We start from the raw sequence: 21,612 nt of genomic DNA, 5'->3' as shown, positions 1-21,612 counted from the left end.
ACATTATTATAATACATGTAACTTGATGTTCTAAATTATGATATTTTATGATATCTGCACATATGTATTAGACAATAAATGATAGACCTTTGTCCATTCTAATTTGTTCCATACATAATTTTTAGTAACCATAGAGTCCTTCCTATTTCTATTTTATTTTAGTTTACCATTTTACTGTTGTTGGATTTAGGTTACTTCTAACTTTCTATAAAACACTGCTAATGATGATTTAGAACATTTGATAATACACATCCTTTATTATTGAGGAAATGGCAACAGTTGTTTTGAAAGGAATTATCAGGACTGGATTTACTATGTCAAATGTAAGGGTGGTTTTGTGACTTGAAATATAATTTGTCTTCTGTATGGTTTGTGGCCATTTCTCCAAAGCCTCTCCATTCACCAAATTTCTTTTTTCTATTTCTTACAGCTTTAGAAGGATAAAAAATGCATTTTATTATTGTTCCATGTGGAATTTTAAACTTATCAGTGCAATTGAAATTACTTGCATATGTTTGCTATTTTCGGTTTCTTGTGTTAATGTTTTTTGTCCCTCTGTTCTTCTGGGTCTTTATAGCAGCAACATAAGAATTCTACATCCTAAGTATGTATTAGAGATGTCAACTTCGATATGTCTAATGCATGATTTTTGTTGTATTTTTCCCTCTTAGTTCTTTTGTCTTGGTTTTGTTTGTTCTATAAAAATTGATTACAATTATTTATCTTTTTGCTGATAGTATCTGTTGTTGACATCAGAAAATTGTCAGACCTCTTTAGCTGATGTACATAGTATATTTTTTTGAGGCCTAACTTTGTTCAGTTTTTTAAAATTAATTTATTATTTATGTATTTATTTATTTATTTTAAGACAGAGTCTCACTCTATCGCCCAGGCTTGAGAGCAGTGGCTCTACCTCATCTCACTTCAGCCTCCTCCCCCCAGGTTCAAGCACTTCTCCTGCCTCAGCCTCCCGACTAGCTGGGATTACAAGTGCCCATCACCACATCGGGCTAATTTTTGTATTTTTAGTAGAAATGCGGTTTCGCTATGTTGGCCAGGCTGGTCTTGAACTCCTGACCTCAAGTGATCCACCTACCTCAGCCTCCCAGAGAGCTGAGATTATAGGCGTGAGCCATCACGCCTGGCCCATTTTAAAAAATTTAGTGTTCTATATTGGTGTTCCAAAAAACATTGTTCTGCAGGTGTGCAAAAATAAAAACAAAACTAGGTATTCTGATTGTAATTAGTTATTTAATTATTTACTTTATCTTTGTTGGGAATTGTTGGAGTATAGAGTTAAACATGTTTCTTTAAAACATTCCAGTCTTTGATAGCCTGACGTGCATTCAGTATCTCCAGGAAAAAGATATCGTTAGAATGTAGTATTTTCCAAATTTACCATTTTACAAATGGTAAACAGATTAATTGTTTTCTCCAGAATACTTTCCAGCATCTCTCAGAAACAGTTTTCTACAAATCACAGGGTAGGAACTGCTGGTTTAATTCATTTGGATTTTTTTTTAACTCCATCAGTTTTTTTTATGAGAAGCAATTCTTCAGTTTTAGTAATCATCTTTATGCAAATGTATAGCCCGGGCTTCTTGGTCTCCTCTGCCAAATTAGGTCTTTCTCTCCTTATTAAAAAATAAAACAAAACAAAACCCACAATGACCAGATCTGTGGTTGGCAGCTCTGAGGTTTGTTTTGATGAATAAACAATTGGGTCTAAACTCATAATTGAAGTGGAGAAGTCACCAATGGCTTACCACTTGTATTCCCTTCAAACTTCTGTTCTCAGAAACTAGGAACATGAAGCAACTATAGTAAGCTTAGCATGCGCCATACTTGGACGTGACAAAAAGTAGAATAAAACATGTTTTTTAGTTGGAGAAGCAGTCAGACATGGCAGAAAGCACAGACTTTGGAGTTAAGCTTTCCAGGGTTAAAATCCTGATTTTTCCGTTTACTAGTTTTTTGGCCCTGGATCCCTACTTTCTGACTTAATTTCTTCATCTCCAAAAAGGCATTATTAATGCATGTCTTCTTAGATTGATGAAGTCTTTGAGTAGTAAATTCAAGGTAGACTTTTCAGAATATCTCTTGGAGGTCAGAGGATGCAAAATAGGGACACCGAAATGGCTGGAATTAGAATCTGAGCCTGACACTATGGCCTATCTTTTTAATTGCATGGAAATCTTGAATATCAGATACTTTCCCAAATATATTTCCATGTTGATGCTATTTGTGTTACTTTTTTTTAAATTAAAATTTCTTTCATTTAAAAGGAAATCTAGCATGCTAAGAGAGAAGAATAATGTTCCTAGGATTTGAAAATACGTGATTTTCAGAAATCAGAGCCAGAAGAGACTGCAGATTGGTGTAGTCTTGCACATTTGCAGGTCAGGAAGCTGAGAACCAGAGACATCTGAGGGGCAGTCAAATTTAGATGGTAGGTTCCAGTTTCTGTACACTGGGCACATCTAGATCTTCTCCTACACCCTGGGGTGCAGGGCCAGCAAGATGGCTCTACAACTGGGAGGAAGTAATATATAAATAAACACATACATATGTGTGTCTGGTATCTTAAAAGATTAATAACTGTTCTTTGTCAAGATAAAAATGTGAGGAAAATGTCATTATAACCTGGCAGGTGCTCTCATAGCACTAGTGAATGAAGAGAGATTATTTCTTAATTGGGGAAGGGGGGCAGTGAAACTTTCTTATTGGGTGATAAAACCCAATCTGAAAGGTTGAACAAGAGTTTGTAAAATTGTTAAGAAGATGATGGAGAAAATGGTGAGAGGCAGAAGTATTGTTCAGAAAAGAGAAAATTTTAGCTACTAGAATTAGCATCTCCAGAGTCATAAAGGCCAGAAAGGAGCCTGGCATGTTAGGACATCATGAACTTGGAGAACCAGGAATATAAAGTGGACAGTCACAGTGACAAGGGTGGGTTGGCTGCAAAGGCGAGTCTGTGAAAGTAGATTGAGGTGAGGCAGAGAAGGGCTTTATGAGCCATGGTTGGGGGTTCCACTTGATTCTGTTTTAAAGTCAGAGAGTGGCATGACTAGACATATTTAGAAACACTCTGCAATGGTGCGGAAGATGGATGGGTGGAGGATGAACTGCTAGAGGCTGTGGAAGTACCTGGCTGGGGCATGATTAAGTCCTAAAGTAAGACAGGAGCCCTTGGAATGGGTTTCAGTAATGCTGCAGAATAACCTGACATAGAGGCACACACTTGTAGTCCCAGCTGCTCTGGAAGCTGAGGCAGGAGGATCCCTTGAGCCCAAGGGTTCGAATCTAGCCTATTAACATAGTGAGACCCCTGTTTCTAAAAAATAGAAAGCAACAAAAAAGAAATGCTGCTGAGATTGAATTGGCAGAATTTTGTGGCCTCTTGGGAAAAGGGTTAAACAAGAGGAATGTGACTTTGGTGTCCGGGTGAACATCTTTGTGCCATCACTGTGGTACTAAATAGACATGGAGGAGGAAGAGAAGATTTGGAGGAAGCCTTGAGTTTGGGGTGTGGTCCCAGAGGAGGAAGTGGATTGAACCACAACAGAAATACTTCAGATAAGTGTTGTGATGTAATACCCAGCTTGTCTCCTCCCTTTCCAGTCTTGCCCCTTTACCTTCCATTTCCACCACAACAGCCAGAGTCATTTTTCTCAAGGTCAGAGCTAATCACGTCTTTGTTCTAAAACCCTAGAGGCTCCATCTTGGCCAAACTACGGCCTCCAGAATACAATCCAGTCTCCTTACCATGGCCCTTTCCTCCCTGTGTGATGGGTCCCAGTGTATCTCTTCATCCCTCCTGTGGCCACTTGTTTCAGGCATCTGATCTCCCTGATGCTTCTTAACAACAAGGGCCTGTTTTCTCAGAATGTTGGCATGCACGTGGTTGTTCTCTGTCTACTCCACCTTGAAGAAGAGAACATTCTTGTCTTCACCAGGTATCCCCACACCTAGAACAGACTTGATGCCTGGAGGTACAGGTCTTTGTAGATGTAGGAGCCGTATCTGCCTGTTCATTCCGCACTCCCCCCTCCAACCCCCCCGGCACCCGCCACATTCCTCAGCACAGACTGAATGCTTGAGTGACCTCTCAATGGGCCAGAGTTAGGATTAGAAATACCAGGTAGATAAACTATTCCTCTTTGATAAGTAAGCTCCTATTTTCTTTCCTGATGCCACAGATAGGCCCACTAATTCTTTTCAAGGATTTTTCTACCAATCAGTCACTCTCAGTGGTGTTTTTCAGTAAGTCACCAGTATTTTAAAGGGCACCTGGAAGCTTTCACAAGCCTGTGCATCTCCACGTGGTGTTGTGGTTGGTTATTTATATTAAGCCTATTTTCTGTATGCAGGTACACATGCCAGCGATCAGTTTTAGTGAAAATGATGCTCATTGTCAAGACTAGTTTTCAATTTGTGAAGTCCACAAAAGCTGTGGTTCCCAGGGTGTGCCTGAAGCTAAGTGGAAAGCCCCTCTGTGGTTTTAACTGACACTCACTATGCTGAGCAAAGTATTTAGCAGATAGACCTATGTGAAATGGCTGATGTGCAGCTCACGTCTGACCTGCTTGGGTGGCACAACCCCAGTGACCTGCAAGTTGACTCCTTCCCACTTTGCTTTTTATCTCAACTACTCTTTAGCTGTTTTACATAGAGCCTCCTGGAATGGGAAGAAAAAGGTCTTTGAAACTGATTGTCTAGTGGCCTGATGACTGAATCCTTGTTGTTGTTTTTTTTTAAGGGTCCTCCATCTTTTGAACCCCATTGTGTCAGGTTGAAGGGTTGGAGAGCAACATGGTTATGAATATAGACCTTGAGATCAGGAAGACCTGCTTTGGAATCCTGGCTCTCTTATTAGCTGCATATCTTAGGGCCATTCTGATGTTCAATTTTCTTATCTGTCAAACATAGGTAATAGAAACCTTCTTATAAGTTACTGTGTTGATTATATAAGATGATATAAGATTAATGGCAATGTCACATTGTCATTTTATCATCATCAATACTGGGGAGAAAAGAGACAAGAATGAACCAAAATCAGACTCTGAGGACCATTGGGGAAAGGAGGAAAAGAAGCAAACACATGTCTGTGCCAGGTATTATATGAGAAAGGTGTTAACAGTACCTTTAGTATCAGAGAGAGTGACTAACTTGACCAGGGTCACACAGTCAGTGTGTGGTAGCCAAGCAGTGACACAGGTCTCTATGACCTCAAAGCTTGTGTTTGTAGCCGTGGCTTTACACCTCTCAAGATGGTAGCTTGCCGCGTGATAGGCTATGTTTCTTCCAAGAGGCAAAGGTTGGACCTCTTAACAAATGGTAGTTGATTTCTGGAACATTAATGGTCACTTAGAACTGTGGGTACTCATAGTAACTTAGTGCCAGATGGTGTGGGACCATCAAGGATTCTACTGATTAGGTGCAGAGAATGAGCATCCCAGAGAAAAGCAAAACTTAGCTTAGCCCTCAGAGGTGGGTTGAGTTCTCTTTACAGAATGTATGGAATGGCTGTAGTTGTTTAGGATGACAGGTTTGATTTTAAGGGTTGTATTAGTTTGTTTTCACACTGGTATAAAGAACTACCTGATATTGGGTAATTTATAAAGAAAAGACGTTTAATTGACTCACAGTTCCGCGTGGCTGGGGAAGCCTCAGGAAACTTACTGTCATGGCAGAAGGCAAAGACGAAGCAAGCACCTTCTTCACAAGGCCGCTGGAGAGAGAGAGAGTGGAAGCACCGTACTTTTTAACCATCAGATCTTGTGAGAACTCACTCACTATTATGATAACAGAATGGGGGAAACCACCCCCATGATCCAGTCACCTCCCACCAGGCCCCTTCCCTGACATGTGGGGATTACAGTTCAACATGAGATTTGAGTGGGGACACAGAGCCAAACCATATCAAGGGTTTTGAAGGGGATCTGTTTTCCTTTCTCTGTACACATTGCTGAATTCTGCCATTGGTACAAAAGGCAGAGTGGTTTAATGAAAAGGTTGTTGATATGATAGGAGGCCCATACTTCACTCATCTCCCTTCACTCATCTAGTCTCTCTCGGAGTCTGCTTTTCCCATGGGGGGGCGAAGGGGAGGGAGGTAGGCAGGCCCTTCACCGCAAATGGCTTCCTTTTGCCCGTGTTACATGTAGGACTTTGTAAGACTTCCTTTACAACTCGCAGTGATTAATTGAGAGGAGTGTGCTTCATCCAGGTCGTAAGCCCTCATAAATGATTATAAAATGATTTCATTATTGATACGTGATGTGACTGACTTTTGAAAGGCAAGATGAGGCTTGGGAACCACTGTAGCCTCCAAGAGTCCCGGGGCGATTAGATAGTGAATATTTTTACGTGTGCTACCCAAACAAAAAATATGTGTTGCAATATTTACCTTAGTTAAGATGGTGCTTCCTTTAAGTGATTGTAATAAACACTAAGGCATTAAAACAAATAGTACATGAGAAATAGCAGCATTATTGAGTTCCAGTTTTCTTCTGTACAGCTTTAATTCTTGATGCTTTTAATATAGAGGCAGATTTATTTGACAGATATTTATTGAGCCCTACTCTGGGCCTAACATAGGCCCTGCCCTCAAAACGTATACACACCTAACAGATAATTTATGCCTACGTAGGAGAGCAGACTTTTGCGAGCTAGTTTTATGCAGTACCTTTTCTTTGGCTTGGGAAGTTGATAGCTTGGTGGTGTTTTCTTGGATGGACTAAATCCTTAGAATTGTTTAGGAGATATTGGTCGAAGGTGGTATGTTAAATTTTTGCCAAGGATCTGAACTGTGAAGTAACTTGTCAAGTGGGGCCCAAACCTTTCAAAGTTTAGGATTTACAGATCTTTCCTGTTCTTTGGTCAAATTCCAGCTGAGAACCATGCAGCCATTAAGCTGTAGGCACCGTAGAAGACGTTAAATGTTTCTGACAGAAATCTTTATAAGCACAGGAGAATCTTAAGGACACTTTTTATAGTCTAAAACAGCACAGATAAACATCTTAAAACCTTTATTTGCAGATAACATACCAACTTTCAATTTTGGGGCTGTGTTATGCAAATCAAATTTTATTTTAGGTTGGTCATTTCCCCTTCATGGCAGCCTCAATCAACTCATATTAATCTTGAAACTAACATGATAACATCTTTACCTCTTCCTTTCATATAAGCTGCGGCTGCCAGGTCCCTCTTCCTCTGTTGGCAAGTATTCTGCACTGCTGCTTCCTGGTTGAACCCCACTAACTGTGGGTGTTGTTACACAGGATGATTCTTAGCACTCCACACCTCAACTCCTCAAACTGCTGTAATTGGAGTTCCTATTTCTGTTCTGCTTCTCTCTGCCTCAACTTGTCTTTCCTGTCTGCACCCTTACTCCCATTCCTTCCTGGCTTGTTCCAAGAGGAGTGTCAGATAGAATGCCATGGGCGTCTTCTCCTCCAGGATTGCAGGGGTTAAAGATGGAGATGACCTAGGACAGCACCTGGCCCACAGGGGACACTCTTAGTTAGCTCCCTTCTTCTCTGCTTAATTACTTTCCAACCTTCTTTTTGTTATCCCTGGAACCCCGTGAAACTTAACTTTGCTCTTCCAAAGGTGTGCCATACAGACAGGCTATGTTTCACTCGCTTCTGTATCTTTATAGCCTAACCCCTAGCCATTGCTTAGTAAATGTTTGCTGGGTGGATGAGTGCATAGAAAGATAATTCTAGTGAGGGGAAATGATGAGACATATTTTCAGACTAGTTAGGTTTTAATTTCATTTGTGGCCACTCCACTTACCCTTTCAGATGAGGAGATAGAGCTGCTTTGGAAGGGTTTATTGTACCCACGTGGTCATTTTGGATTCTTGCACAGTCTCCAGGAATGGGCATTCTTGTTTTAATTTCAAGTAATCAGGAGATTCCGGGACCATCTGTTCACTAGTATAGGAGAGGGCAAGGCAACAAGGAGTTCATATTCACATAGTACTCAGGCCAGTTTAACTGAAACCACCAACAGGTCCTCAAATGTCAGACACAGACATAAGAGAGATATTCATTCTTTCACCTTCCATTTGTTTGCTTGTTCATTCAGTCAGCTTCCACTGAGTGCTCTAATAGGTCTGATACCATGCTACCTGTTGGGGCCTTTTAGTCTGGATCTGAAGATTACAACAGGGTGATCTATACACCCTTGATTCGGCCCTCCAGCCAGATCAGTGACTAACACAAGTCTTTAAAATGAATTTAATAGGTCATCACCTGTGAAAAGAAGGGAAAGTAAAAAAAATAATAGATATTTACTGCACATCTCCTATTGTTTTCAGTGCTGGTGACATTGCCATGAACAGGATAGCACCACCTTCTTTGAGAGATTACATTCTATTGGGACAGATCATAAACGCAGGAGCATAACAATAAGATCATTTCAGAGAGTGTTAGTTCTTCCTAGGAAGTAAGAGAGGGTAATGAATGGACAGTGACTGGGAGTTGGACCATCAGAATGTCCTTGTGAGATGGCATTTGACCTGAATGGCAGAAAAAAAGAGAGAAGGTACAAGCTAGGCCCGTTTAGATTTAGGCGAAGAGAGTTTTAAGAAAAAGATTTCAGGAGAGAGGTCAGCAATTCTAAAAGCTTTAAGGCAGGACTAGCTCATTGGGGTTAGAAAGACTGTAGGTGTGGCTGGAACATAATGAGTAGTGGAGGGTGTGGGAACAGAGGGGAGAGGGCAGAAGGCTGGGTCACGTAGGGCCTTGCAGGCAGTAGCGAGGACTTAGTTTTATTGGAAGAACAGTGAATTCTTTCATCTTTCCTTTCTTCCTCCAAAGAGAGAGAGAGTGTGTATGTGTTCATTCCTTTCATTCATGTCAGTGAATCCTTACAAAGCATCTTCTATGTGAAGAAATAAACATGAATATTATCCTGGTATTATTCTTACGGAGTTTTTAGTTGATGGAGTACAGGGAGAGACGCAGGTACTTAAACATCTAAAAAATAAGGTAGAGTGGAATGATGTGAGAAGTATGGATAAAGCAAGCCCCAGGTTAGCAATAATGAATGTTTTATGAACAACTTACTTTATCAATCTTATCAGAAGCCTTACCAGGCTTCCCATTTCTTCTAGCAAAGGGTTTTGCTGCTGCTGCTTTGCTGTGGCAAGAAGTGAGGAGGCCTGCAGCTGGTTAAGGAGAGGTAGATGCACAATTTGGTTTTCACACTTTGGCTGGTGCCTGTTGAAGCGTCTAGCACACTGAGTGGATGAATAAGTGCCTAAATGATGTAAAAACCCAAGTTTGATGATCATCAGAAAAAATCTCAGAGAAATTGGTTCCAGGATCCCCACAGATACCAAAATCTATGCACATGCAAGTCCCACAGTTGGCCTGTGGAACCCACAGGTATGGAAGGTCAACAGCACACATTTGCGTGGTTTGCCTATATCTTTCCCCTTTTTGAGGAGGAGACAGTGACAATTCTTCATTGTCAATTCTTTCTTCTGGCACCTTTATCCACAACTCTACTCATGATCACATTGGACAGTGTGAATGAATGCATAGAAAGAGCTTATGCCTTCACATTATGATTATTCACGTATATGTTCTAGCATATGGAGATTTACAATGGGTAAATAATTTACTGATTTGGCTGTGAGGCTGCATGAGAACTTATGTCACTTTTTCATCCTCTTATGCAAGTGTTAATTAGGCATCCCTAAACACATTGCTCTTCAATCCTCACTCCTCCCATCAAGGTAGCATGATTGCCCAACAAGCTCAAGGCTGAAGTAATCAGAGTCTAAACCAAAATTAGGCCAAAGTAGCATTCCCTTGCTTCCCCTATTAAAGGAATAACACATATAAGAACATTTGCCTTGTGGCGATTATGGGACAAATGCATCCATTAAAAAGCATTTTTTAAATGACCTCTCTGAATATACTATAAAGCAATACAATGGAAGCCCTTTTTTTTTCCAAGTGAGTTAAAAAAAAAAAAAAGTTGTTTTTTTTTTTTTTTTTTTTTTAAGGAAATCACTTTGGTATAGGAGTATTTGTTTCAGAGGTGTTTTGCTGTCACTGCTCCAAGTGTTTCACTGGCAACTGCCTTCTGAGGTGAGAGTAATGATAGCTGGTCATTTTTGAGCACCTGCTCCATTCAAGACTTTGTGCTAGCCACTTCTAGGCACATTAATGTATTGAATGCTCAGAGCACTCCTAGATGGTAGGTATAATTCCCTGCTACCTTGGCATATCTCTAGGAAGTTCTATGCTAATATTTTATTGTTATGTACTATTTCCTGCCTCTGTAAACATAAAATTTAGCTCCAAAGAGTTGTGGTTATTGTCTAAAATCTAATCTACCCAAAATAAAAGCAATTTTCCCACTTGAGTATATAGAAAGTGCCATAGATTTAGAAAGTAATTCTAAAATAGAAAGTCTTAATGAATAGTGGCAACAGTATTGCCATTGCTCAGTTAGCATAAATATATTTCAATAAAATATTTTTAAAGAAAGTTCACAGAATAACTATTTGAAGGCAATGTCCTGTTAAGACATTATTCTCATGACTGTATAGTCATATCTCTTCTACATATATGGCTATACATATTAGATATGTATACCTTTAAACTTTATTCAAAACCATTAGGGGAAGAATTACAGAGGACCATGTTTTCTGAATCTAGAACTATTTTGTCAACCATTTTCAAAGCAAGTCTTATGTTGCCTACTTCTCTGTTTTGTGGAGATGATTATACTGATGAGTTTATGTATTCAGTCATTTGTCGCTTCATTTCATAAGCATTTTTGAGCATCTACTGTGTGCTAGACACTAGGACTAGGAACTCAGCCATGAACAGGTTATACAAGCCCCTGCTTTCATAGAACTTCCATTCTTCTAGTAGAGAGAAAAATACCGTAAAAGCAAACAAATCATGAACAGGATCATTTCAGGATGTGGTAACACTATGGAAAAACTGGCATGACGTGCATTTGAGAGTAACCCTTGGGTGGGCCGAGGGTATACACTGCTGTAGGGTATCCTTAGAAGGCTTTTGTGGGGAAAGGACTCTTAATCCGAGGCTTGTGTAAGAAGAAAGAGCCAGTCATCCAGAGAGCTTTGGGGAAGAGTTCTAGGCAGAGCAATCAACTAGTTCAAATGTCCTGAGCAGGCATGGTCAGATTCATACGCGTCTCTGAGAACATCTGCTCTTACACTCTGCTGTGACTGAGGGATACCACTCGGCCTGGAGAGGTATGCTACCCTCCTTGTCCTCAAAGTCTCAAGGACTTTTCTGTCCTTATGGTCTGGTTTGTATAATTTTTCTACATCCTTTTGGCTGTCAGCTCTCATGTAGTGCCTCTGTCAGTATGGCTTCCTAGCAGCCTCTCTCTGATTTGCAGCAGCCTGCATCTTCTCTGGGCCTAGATTCAAATGACAAAACTTGTTAGGACTATGTGTGAAATAAAAGTAAAAAGTCTTCGTATCAAGGTTGGAAGTGCTCTCCTAGACTACCATCCCTGATCCTTAGTTATGTAATGTTAAAGAGAATGTAATAATGCCGTATGGCACAACTTTACATTCTCCTGTATTCATTTATTTGTTAATTCATTCTTTCCCCCTCACCCCACTCTTTTGAGTTGTCCAACTGCGGATACATACTTAGAAATGCCCGCACACGTTTTATCATACTTCTAATGATTTGGGAAAGATAATCTTATAGCCTATATTATCTACCATTTTTCTCTTAGCCCTTATTTAATTTTACATATATGACATTTCAGAGGATGTCACTGCAGTTGTTGTTTGGCATTTATGGGAATAAAACTTTGTAGCACACTTAGACTTGTATTATTTCTAGAGGGAGCCTTGTTTGATTGAAGGACAGTATCCCCTGTCTCTCTAAAACATGAGGCTCTTAAAAGTGCATTTTATTTAGCTTATTTTTGCCAGTGGCCAAACACTCAAGCTTAAAAAAAAAGAAGTGTCACCTAGACTTACCTGACTGTAGCTGTCAAATGAGGATGCTTTCAATAAACTTTAAAAGTAAGTAGATGAACTTTACACCCTACCAGTTCATAGGCAAGTTGGTAAACATTGAACAGAAATTCTGAGACTGTACCCGCTCCCCCCCACAAAAGGAAGTAGGTAGATGGTCTCAAAAAATGTTATGGCTGAAATCTTTCACATTCATTTGCTCATTTGGAGTTAACTGTAAAGTCCACTTAGTAATTTCTGTTAGACTACAGCCATCCTTTTTTAGTCATTATTCCCCCAAAGATAACCGATAGGTTATTCTCCTCCAGAAGCAGATCTTTGTTTCTTTCTTGAAAATAATTAAGAAATGTTGATTCAGGGGAAACTTGGACTTGCCTTCCACAACAGATTAGATGGCATGGTTGAAAAAGCATAGGCTGGCTCTTCTCTTACTTAGTATGTGACACTTGGCAAGCTAACTAATTTCTCTAAGGCCCAAGGTTTTTCATCAGGGAAAAAGGGCAATCATAAGTATGGAAAAAAATTAATGACTATTTTTAGCATTTTAAAACAATGACATCACAAAAACAGTTCATCTAAGAATAAACCCATTGGATTCAGTCTTTTAAGTAAATGCTTATTTGCATCATGTTCTTTCCCTCCTGCTCTTAGCAATCTAAATGTCTTATATATTTTTAAAACTCAGGTTTATCTCAAAACTGGTATATAGTCGTCACCTCCCCCATATGATGAGACTGTTTTTAGTTTCAGCCTATCGCGGATATCATTAGAATGCAGAATTAGGTAGTGGTTAGAAGATAAGGCTCTGTGTTGTCAAAGACCTGGGTTCAAATTCCAGCTCAGCCACCCTGGACAAGTTAACCTTTCTAAGCCAAGCCTCTGTTTCCTCATCCATAAAATGGATATAATAAGAATATTTATTTCACAGGACTTTTGTGAGAATTAAGTGAGATAATCTCTGTAAACCTCTTAGCATGCTTTCTGGTTTATACCAAGTATATGTTAAATATTAGTTATCTTCCCTCTTTCCTCTACAATGCAAATCTTAAATCTTTTCAGTAATACAAAATTTATCTCTTCCCTGAAATGTCTCATAAAACATTCCCTTAAGCATGACATGCAGCATGACAGGTATGTGAGATGACTTGAGATCCTAAGCGGAGGAGCATTTTGTATAGGTAGAGGTACATTGTAATTTTCAAAGTGTCTTCTATCAATGGTAAGTGATCCTGGTTTTTCATTTATTGTAACTCTTTACAATACAGTTATTTAAATTTTTTTAAAAAGATACAAGAGTATTTAAAGGAAGATATTGAACAGAAGTACAGGTAGGCAGTGGATGTGATAAGATATGGAGTTAGAATGTAGGTGATGGGTATGGTGGAAATCGTGTTAGACTTGCAGTCTGGAAACCCTGTTTTTTGTCTCAGCATCCCAGTAAAGAAAGCATACACTTTGGGATTTGGTAGATATAAGTGTAGAATGTGACATTAGCATTTTCTGGCTCTGTGACCTTGGGAAAGTTACTTAACCTTTCTCACCTTGCCTTTCTATAAATATTTATTGAAGGTCTACTACATTTCCTTATCTGAAAAATGAAGATGATCCTTAACAGGTTTCTGTAAAGATGCAATGCAAAGAGATAAAATATTTGAAAGTGTATATATCTTATATAATTGATATGTTTTATAAATATAATAAGTTTTATACCTGATGTCTAGTAAGTGCTCAGTAAATGTTAGTTCTAGTGTTACTTAGGACCTGTGGTTGCAAGTGACAGAATTCCAAGCTCAACTGGCTTGGGACAGAAGGAATTTGTTGTCTCGTGTACTCAGACTGTAGGAAGGTTAACAGTGACATATGCCTTGGGAACAGCTGGAAGCAAAAACTCAGATGCCAGAGGAGTGTCTCTACCTCTTTTCTCTGTTACTGTGTCTCTGTTAATGTCATTTTGTCTGGCCAGATTTTTCCTCACATCAAGAAACAGAACCACTGGCAGTCTTAAGCTGATGTGACCAGAAAGCGACTGAGCATTGTGGTCCTTGTTTCCAAGCCCAGAAATCCGAGGAATGACGTTGAGTCCAGTATGAGTCTGGTGCTCACCTGGCCAGACACTGGGGTCTAGAGAACAAGAGGTGAAGGAAGGTGGTAGGAAAGACCATTTTCCATAAGGGGAATTGTAGGTGCCTGCTACCATTGCATTTATCCCTTTCGGCTTCTTCAGGGAAGTACTTAGCCTCTGTGGGCTTCAGTTTTCTGGTCTGAAGTTCTGAGGTTTAGATGATGTAATGGATGTGAGTGTACATTTAATGTTTTAAATTTTTATTTATGCAGTTTATTACTGTTATTGCTCATGCCTTCCAAATCTTGACATATCATCTAGGGGTTCCCAAGCAGACCAGAGGCCCTTGAAGTAGCAGAAAGGGGCCTAAAATTGTTTTAACAAGTTAGTCCAGTGTGCCAAGTATATTGACTATGCCCCATTTTAAACTTGTTTTTGGAGTGTGATACACATACAGAAAGGAGTACATAGCCTAAACGCACAATTTGCTGAATTTTAACAAACTAAACACAATGGTATATCCTGTACCTGGATTAAGAATCAACAACAATAGACTCCTAGAAGCCCCCCTGCTTATACCACAGGTAGATTAATGTGTTGATTCATCATCCAAGAAATCATTTAAAAGCATTACCAGCATCATGATGGCATTTTCCAACCTGTTTTTTTAAATTAAAAGATTGCCAAAATTCAACTGCCATATGTCATAACTAATTTTTTTTTTTAACACTAAAAGAAATCGCAAAACTTAAAAGCACTGTGAAAAGCTCTTCAGGTCATTCCTACTCATTATACCCCTTGAAATGTTTTTCTGGCTAAAATTACCATTTAGGTGATAAAGTGTGTCCTGTTGCCTGGGTATTGTGCCATTCATGTCTATGCTTGCCTTTTCTCCTTACCAGATTGTAAATGCATGAAAGAATCCAAGCCTTAAGATTTCTTCAGTGTCTTGTACTGTCTTTCTTGTGCATAGCTTAGCATGATAATTGACTGACTAAAATGCTATCCATTTCACACACTGAGCTTTGTGGAATGACTGCACTTCTCCGGAAAATATAACTACTCAGATCCCAGGGACTTCCAGTCTGATATGATTCATTGTTAATGAATATGTCAGTTTGCTGTTGCTTTGGTACTCAGGAAAACAAATGCAATTACAAATGAATTTTTCTTATTATTTTTTTAATTTACCAAATCTTCTAATATCTTTTCCCCCTTTTTTCTCTTTTAGGCTCTAGACCAAGATAGAACAGCCCTTCAGAAAGTGAAGAAGTCTGTAAAAGCAATATATAATTCTGGTCAAGGTAAGCACTTACTAAAAATGAGGTAACATGAATTATAAATAATGTCTACAGAGTTTTGTTAGTTATTTAAAAGATGTTAAGTTTATAGGAAACTTGACACAAATGGAAAAGTAAGTAGGTAAAAGAAATTTCTCTTTTTTTCTCTTATCTCGACTGTCAGCCCAAACCTATTAGTGTTTCCAAAACAGAAAGAAGAAAAGCATTAGTCACAGTGGATTTTACTGTACACTTAAGTGCTTAATAGAGTTATGAGTAAATTTGTCACAAGTAACATGAGATAGATAAAATCTCTGTGTGAATTTGGTCAACCTGTAACTCAGTGGCTTCAGTTAAACACATCAGAATCTTTTCCCTTCTTCAGTGTACCTGTACACATTTGAAAATCAATATTGGCGATGGTTGTGGAAAAAGTTAGAGAGGAGGGGGCAAAGTTAAATTCAGACCTCAACAGACCTGTGAACTATCATCTTTTCTTTTGTTGGAAGGTGTGCCAGATAACCTGTGTAACTAAATGTTTTAACTGTCTAGTGACTTTGTCACCTTGGAGGCAAAAGTATGTCATCAGTGAATAAGAGGAAACAAACTAAATTAAAAAAAAAAAAATGAGTAACCACAAAAAATGGTAGGCTCCAGCACTGTAGAAGAGAAGCTTGGAAACATAAAATGGATTTCAGAGTTTCTCACTCACATCTTTTGTTACTATTGCAGTACCAGCTCACCTACCAATAGGTTACTTCTCTAGGAAATCAGTGGTCTGTAACTTAACAGAAAACCTGGAAGGGAAGGCAGCAGACTATAATAGAAAGAGCGCAGGCCGTGAAGTTGGACAGATGTGGGCTTTCGTCCTTGCTAATCCACTTCTTATTAGCAAGGTGACCTTGAGCTGGTTATTTCTCCTTCTTGAGCCTCCATTTTTCTTCTGTAACGTGAGGATAGTGGTATTAAAAAAAGTTGTTGAAGGGATTTAATGATCTCATATCTGTAAAGGGTCTGCCAGGTTATGGGAGTTCAGTAAATGCATGTTCCTCTTAATTTTATCATCATGAAATTATTGAGCTGAATGGAACCTGAACAAGCCAAAACCCTCAGGTACTTTATGGCCTTCCCGTCTCATCAGAGCTGGGAATCCCTAGCCAAATGAAACTGGAAACCTAATATTCTCTTGTTTTTTAAACCCCCCTAGGCCTTGAGACATTCTGTAATATTAATTGTTAACACATTTTGCACCCTGGTGCCTTCATTTTGCTCCCTAATTTCTTTATATCCACTAACTTCTCATTAAGGTAGATAACTAATAGTCATGTAGTTATGACCAAATGTTGTTTTAGGTCTTGGCCTAAGTTATATACCTAATTTATAACTCCTGCCCTTTCGCTTTTATTTCAATGAACTCCCACACTGTGGTAGGCCCTTATGTTTGATACTAGCTCTTTGGGGAGGTGAGTGAAATAAATAACTAGGAGATGCCACAAAGTGGGCTTCTAAGGTGCTGATATTGTTGTTTCTTGATGTTAGTGGTGGTTACATGGTAAAGTTCACTTTTTGATAATTCATCAGATGCTGAACTTAGGATTTATGTACTTTTCTGTAGGTATGTATATTATATACCAATAAAAATATATTTAAAGTATTATATACAAGGAGGTTCACTGAAGCCTTGATTGTGATTTGGAAGAGCAGAAAATAAAAGGGATTTATTAAATAAACCATAGTATACATATAATAGACTACTACACACCCCTTTGAAAAAGAGAGAAACTCAAGTAGTCTAGGTCTGAGTTTGAATCCTAGCTTTGTTATACTTGTTCAAGTCAAGTATATTATTTAACTTCCAGGAGTCTTACATTTCCTTACCATAAATTTAAAAAATAATATCTAATGTGCAGGGGATTGTATGGACAAAAGGAGAGACCATCTAAGGCCCCTAATACACTGCCTGCCACATAGTAGGTGCCTAACAAATGGTAGATGGGGGAAAAGGACAGCTAGATGAATTCTTGAGTGCCTTCTCTATTTTAATTCAGTGATTCCACATACAACATTTGACCAGCCTGATTTTATAAAGAGCTTAATGAGAACCATTGTTTGTCTCAGGAAGAATGGTCAGTTCTCTGTAATGTGATGATGGTTTGTACCTGAGGCTCTATGCTTGTGAGCTGCAAAAGGGAGACCCTTGCTTTACAGCCACGAGGTGCTGCTGTATTTACCGTGCTGAGGGCTCCCTCCATGTGACTCTTTTCCAAATGTTCCCCCTCAAGATGCATTTCATCCCTTGGCCACAATGACCACATCACTCAGCAGCTCATACAAAGGCTCCTCTACTGGGGGATATGCTTCTTCCTGTTCTTTAAAGGATTTCCTTGATCACAGCTGCCATGGGTATGACAGAAGGGAGAGATTGTTCCTGTATGGATGTAAAGAGGTGAGAGTTCAAGGGCTGTATGCAGAGTTTGGGTGCAGCCTCCTCCAGTAGACTGCACCCTCTTTGTGGATGGGGGTGGTACAGCTTATTGAACATTGAATCTCTCCAGTCTGGATTAGGGGTTCTGTGTGCCCTCCTCCTAGGTTTGTACTATTAGAGTAGCCTCTGGTGAGATATGGTTTTAAATTTTAAATGAATTAAAATAAAATTTAAAATTCAGTTCCTCAGTTTTAGCCACATTTCAAGAACTTAACAGCCGTATATGACTAGTGGGTGCCATATTGGATAGTGCAGAAATAGAAACTTCTCCATCATCACAGGAAGTCCTGTTAGACTGATACTGTAGGAGAACATGTATCCCATTGTATTGCAATTACTAACCATCTCTCTTGGAGTAGATAATGATTCTTACCTTTGTTGATTAGGATCACCTGAAGAACTCTTAAAAACAAAAACAGGAATCTCTCAGACCCTTACCCTCGAATTGTTCCAGAGTAGAGCCTAGCTATTGAGATTAAAAAAATATTATTCCCCAGCTGATTCTAACTTGCAGCCAAAATTAAGAACTGTTGCACTGGCCTATGAGTTTTTTGATAAGACTAGTACTATGTTTTTCGTTTTTGTAGTTTATGCATTTGTCAATGTAATTTGTTTGTTTGAAAAGATATTTATTGAGCACCTATTATATTCTCCTGTTCTGGGTGTTAGGTGTTTGGCACATCAAAGTCTCTGCCTTCATGAATTTTACAATCCAGTAGGGGAGAGATAAATGTTAATCAGATCATCAAACTGGGAAGTATTTATAACTAGAAACTAGGAAGCGCTATAAAAGAAAGCTTACAAAGTGCAAAGGGTGAAATAGGAAGAAGGATCTGAGGTAGCGTGAGGAAGGTGCTAAGGGAGTACCACTTGGAGGAAATGATATTCATTTTGTATTTATACTGTACTAGGCTAAGCCAAACAAGCCAATAAGGTAAGTACCATTGTTCTCATTTTATAGATGATGAAACTGAAGCTTAGAGAGACAGAATAACTTGTTCAGGGTACCATACCTAGCAAATAATGGAAAGAGAGCCCAGCTGACCCCAGCTTTGCTCTTTACAGGTACTCTGTATTTGTCTTCTACCTAACACATGGTAGGGGCTCAACAAGGGTTGAGTGAATCGCTACATGTTGGCTGGATGTGTTACTACCTGGGAAGCTCTCTGAGACCAGCTATTAATATTCACTAATCATGAATATTCATGAATGGATCCATCAAATGGAAAATCCCAGCATTGTAACCTGTGGGATGACTTTGGTGTTTCCCAGATGAGACCACCAATAGTAGTTTCCATGGTCATGTCTCAGAAATATAGGGACAAACTCAGATCCCTCTGGGTTCCTCACAGACTATTGAGGCCTGATAGGGTTTCTGCAGTCACGAACAAGTATAGTATAGCTGGGTTTGTGGGCAGCACTATGACATTTAATTCTTTAAAAATGACTAAATGAGTAAAACAGTGGTGTTGCATAGCTTTCCATGATACATGCTCAGTGGAATCCAAGCTGTTCCCCTCCAAGGGCTTTTGGCCTCATCCAGAGAAACCACAAGAAGCTGAACCCTGCTATCTGTTTCCCAATGCATTTTCATAATTTTCTTGTTTTCTCACAATGCTTAAGTGATACAAAACCCATGTGATATTTTTTAAACATTTAAAAAGGATTTCTATATTTCTGGTTGGAGATTACCAATCACTCAGCTTCCCAAAGTGATTTGAAAAATGGCTAAACATTGTGAAGCTTCTTACTCTTAAAATGTATTATTTTTACACATAAACTTTTATCAGTACTAGTAAACATTATAAAAATGAGGGTTTTTTGGTTTTTTTTTTTTAAACAAATTGTCTCCATGCAAGCCCTTTGGTTTCAAGATTGTTCTAGGAATTTGTGTCTCACTTTTCCTTGTTGTGTATGAGGACATTTTAAAAAACAACACAAAACTCAATTCTGTGAACTACTTAGACCAATGGAAAATTCTCCAAGCCATTCAGTTTTCCTGTGTTGTTCTCTAAGTTTTGAAGTTTTAACATTATTAATCTGTGAAACACATTGTCGTTAAGGAAGTCTGCCTTAGTGGTCCCTCTCCCTTTCCCATTTTCTCCCTCCTTCGCCCTTTTGCTAATATATGATTAAAATGACTAGTAGTTTCTTGGGCACTGTGGAGGTTTTAATTTATTGTAATTCTTGGGCAATTTTCTTTAGAAAGATAGAGCCTAATCCCCTTTCCCCTTGAATGTACACCAGAGTTACTAACTCCCTTCTAATGAATAGAATGTAGTAGAGGTGATGCCATGTGATTTCCAAGGCCAGTCCATAGACAAGATAGCTTCAACCTCGTCCTTCTGTTCTTTTTCTGATCATTTTCTTTGGAGGAAGCCAGCTACCATATTGAGGATACTCAAGCAGTCCTATGGAGAACTACCACTCACTTACTAGCCATGCAAGTGAGACGTAGAAGCAAATCTAACCCCAGTCAAACTTTCAGGTGACTGCAGCCCTGGCAGACATCTTGATCTTGATCTTTGTGAGAGACCCTGGGTCAGTACAGTAGGAGTGGGGCTGGCTTTCCCTTGGAAGCATGGGCATGTGAATGCACGTAAGTCAGGTGTGGCTTGAGAAAAGAGCTTACTGCTTGCTTCTCAGTATTGTTTAAAAAACACAGTGAGACATACTGCACTTTTAGAAATGGAAGCATGTGGTTCATAATAAGCGTGGGTATACTGAGTTGGCTATTCTACCAAATGAATTAGGTTGAAAATGTTAATCTTTTTGAGCAGATACATTCTCACACAACACAGGTACAGGTATACACTTCTTTCTGGGACTAGGAACTCAGGATATTCCTGCTACTAGGTCTTTTTCTGTGTTAAAGTGTTGGCTTTTTTTTTCTTTGCTCAAATTAAATGAACATATTATTATATGGCTGGTTCCTTAGAATTTATGCCAGGATATATTCAGAATAAATGTTAGCTTATTGGTAACACATGGTGCCCCTTAGAATCTATAACATTGTTGGTCTGAAAGTTGAGGCTTGTAAATCCTTTAATATTTCTGGGCAGGAAAAAAATGACAGTGGTATATAATTTTATTACCAGCATATGATGTGGAAGTCATATTTTCAAAACACAGCTAAATTGTTATAAACAGTTTTGCAGCTTTTTCATTACAAGGAAGACAGCCATTGATTTTCTCATTTCCTTACATTTTTGTCTCCCATTCCTTTTCAGTTAGAATTAAGTAGTAGATAGTTTTATAACACAGGGTTTGTGTTTTTTAAGGCAAAAAATGTGTGGTGTTCTCTCCACTTTTTCATTTTGTTAAATTATCTATTTTAAGAAAAAGCTCATAGTGCACAAGGAAATCTAGGATTTTAAAGGTAAAGTACTAAATTTATCAGTGGATAGGAAGCAAATGTTTTTGTAACCAAACAACTTCATTTGAGCTATTTTTTAGTTAAGTATTTCCTCAAACTTGAAGGTATAGTGTGAATTCAGTTGTAACTAGAGTTGGTAATTAGGTTCGGTGTCTTACCATGGTGTCATGTAATGCTTATTTTAATCCTGCGGTTTTCAGTGGGGAGAAAAGTTTTCTTAACAAGCATATGTAAGAGACATAATAGATTAGAATAAAATGTCACAAGGTGTACAAAAGCAGCTTGTCTCTAGGAAATTTTACCTTTTTTTGCTGTTTTTCAAGTTTGTGGATAGCCAGATTTTTTAAAAAATCTTTTTGAATTACAGTAAATTGATTAGTAAAAATAATAACAATTCTTAAGCTCTCAAAAGGC

At 38.7% G+C, this 21,612-nt stretch overlaps 1 protein-coding gene and 1 long non-coding RNA gene across 25 annotated transcripts in view, besides 2 other annotated features; one reads left to right on the top strand and one right to left on the bottom strand.

Moving 5' to 3' along the window:
* ASAP1 (ArfGAP with SH3 domain, ankyrin repeat and PH domain 1) overlaps positions 1 to 21,612 on the top strand; it is a 391,571-nt gene that overhangs the window by 191,392 nt on the left and 178,567 nt on the right. For all 24 annotated transcript variants that reach the window (XM_047421810.1, XM_047421806.1, XM_017013468.2 and 21 more), the window contains one exon: positions 15,289 to 15,361. In XM_047421810.1, the coding sequence (XP_047277766.1) occupies positions 15,289 to 15,361 (73 nt within the window). The remainder of the gene's footprint in view (positions 1 to 15,288; positions 15,362 to 21,612) is intronic.
* LOC124902027 (uncharacterized) lies at positions 1,232 to 4,108 on the bottom strand. The gene is made up of 2 exons (XR_007061115.1): positions 3,766 to 4,108; positions 1,232 to 2,532 (listed from the first exon to the last, which is right to left on the bottom strand). It is a non-coding gene; the product is annotated as an uncharacterized LOC124902027 (long non-coding RNA).
* Positions 3,880 to 3,969: an enhancer, noted in NCBI's record as "active region_27983". NCBI's record gives its function as "activates an Ori minimal core promoter by ATAC-STARR-seq in GM12878 lymphoblastoid cells {active_cell/tissue: GM12878}" and the evidence as "EXISTENCE:reporter gene assay evidence [ECO:0000049][PMID:35858748]".
* Positions 4,300 to 4,359: an enhancer, noted in NCBI's record as "active region_27982". NCBI's record gives its function as "activates an Ori minimal core promoter by ATAC-STARR-seq in GM12878 lymphoblastoid cells {active_cell/tissue: GM12878}" and the evidence as "EXISTENCE:reporter gene assay evidence [ECO:0000049][PMID:35858748]".

Source organism: Homo sapiens, chromosome 8 (genome assembly GCF_000001405.40).
Source record: "Homo sapiens chromosome 8, GRCh38.p14 Primary Assembly".
NCBI classification, from domain to species: Eukaryota; Metazoa; Chordata; class Mammalia; order Primates; family Hominidae; genus Homo; species Homo sapiens.
Note: the sequence above shows the minus strand (reverse complement) of the source record. Positions and strands in the feature narration are given on the sequence as shown.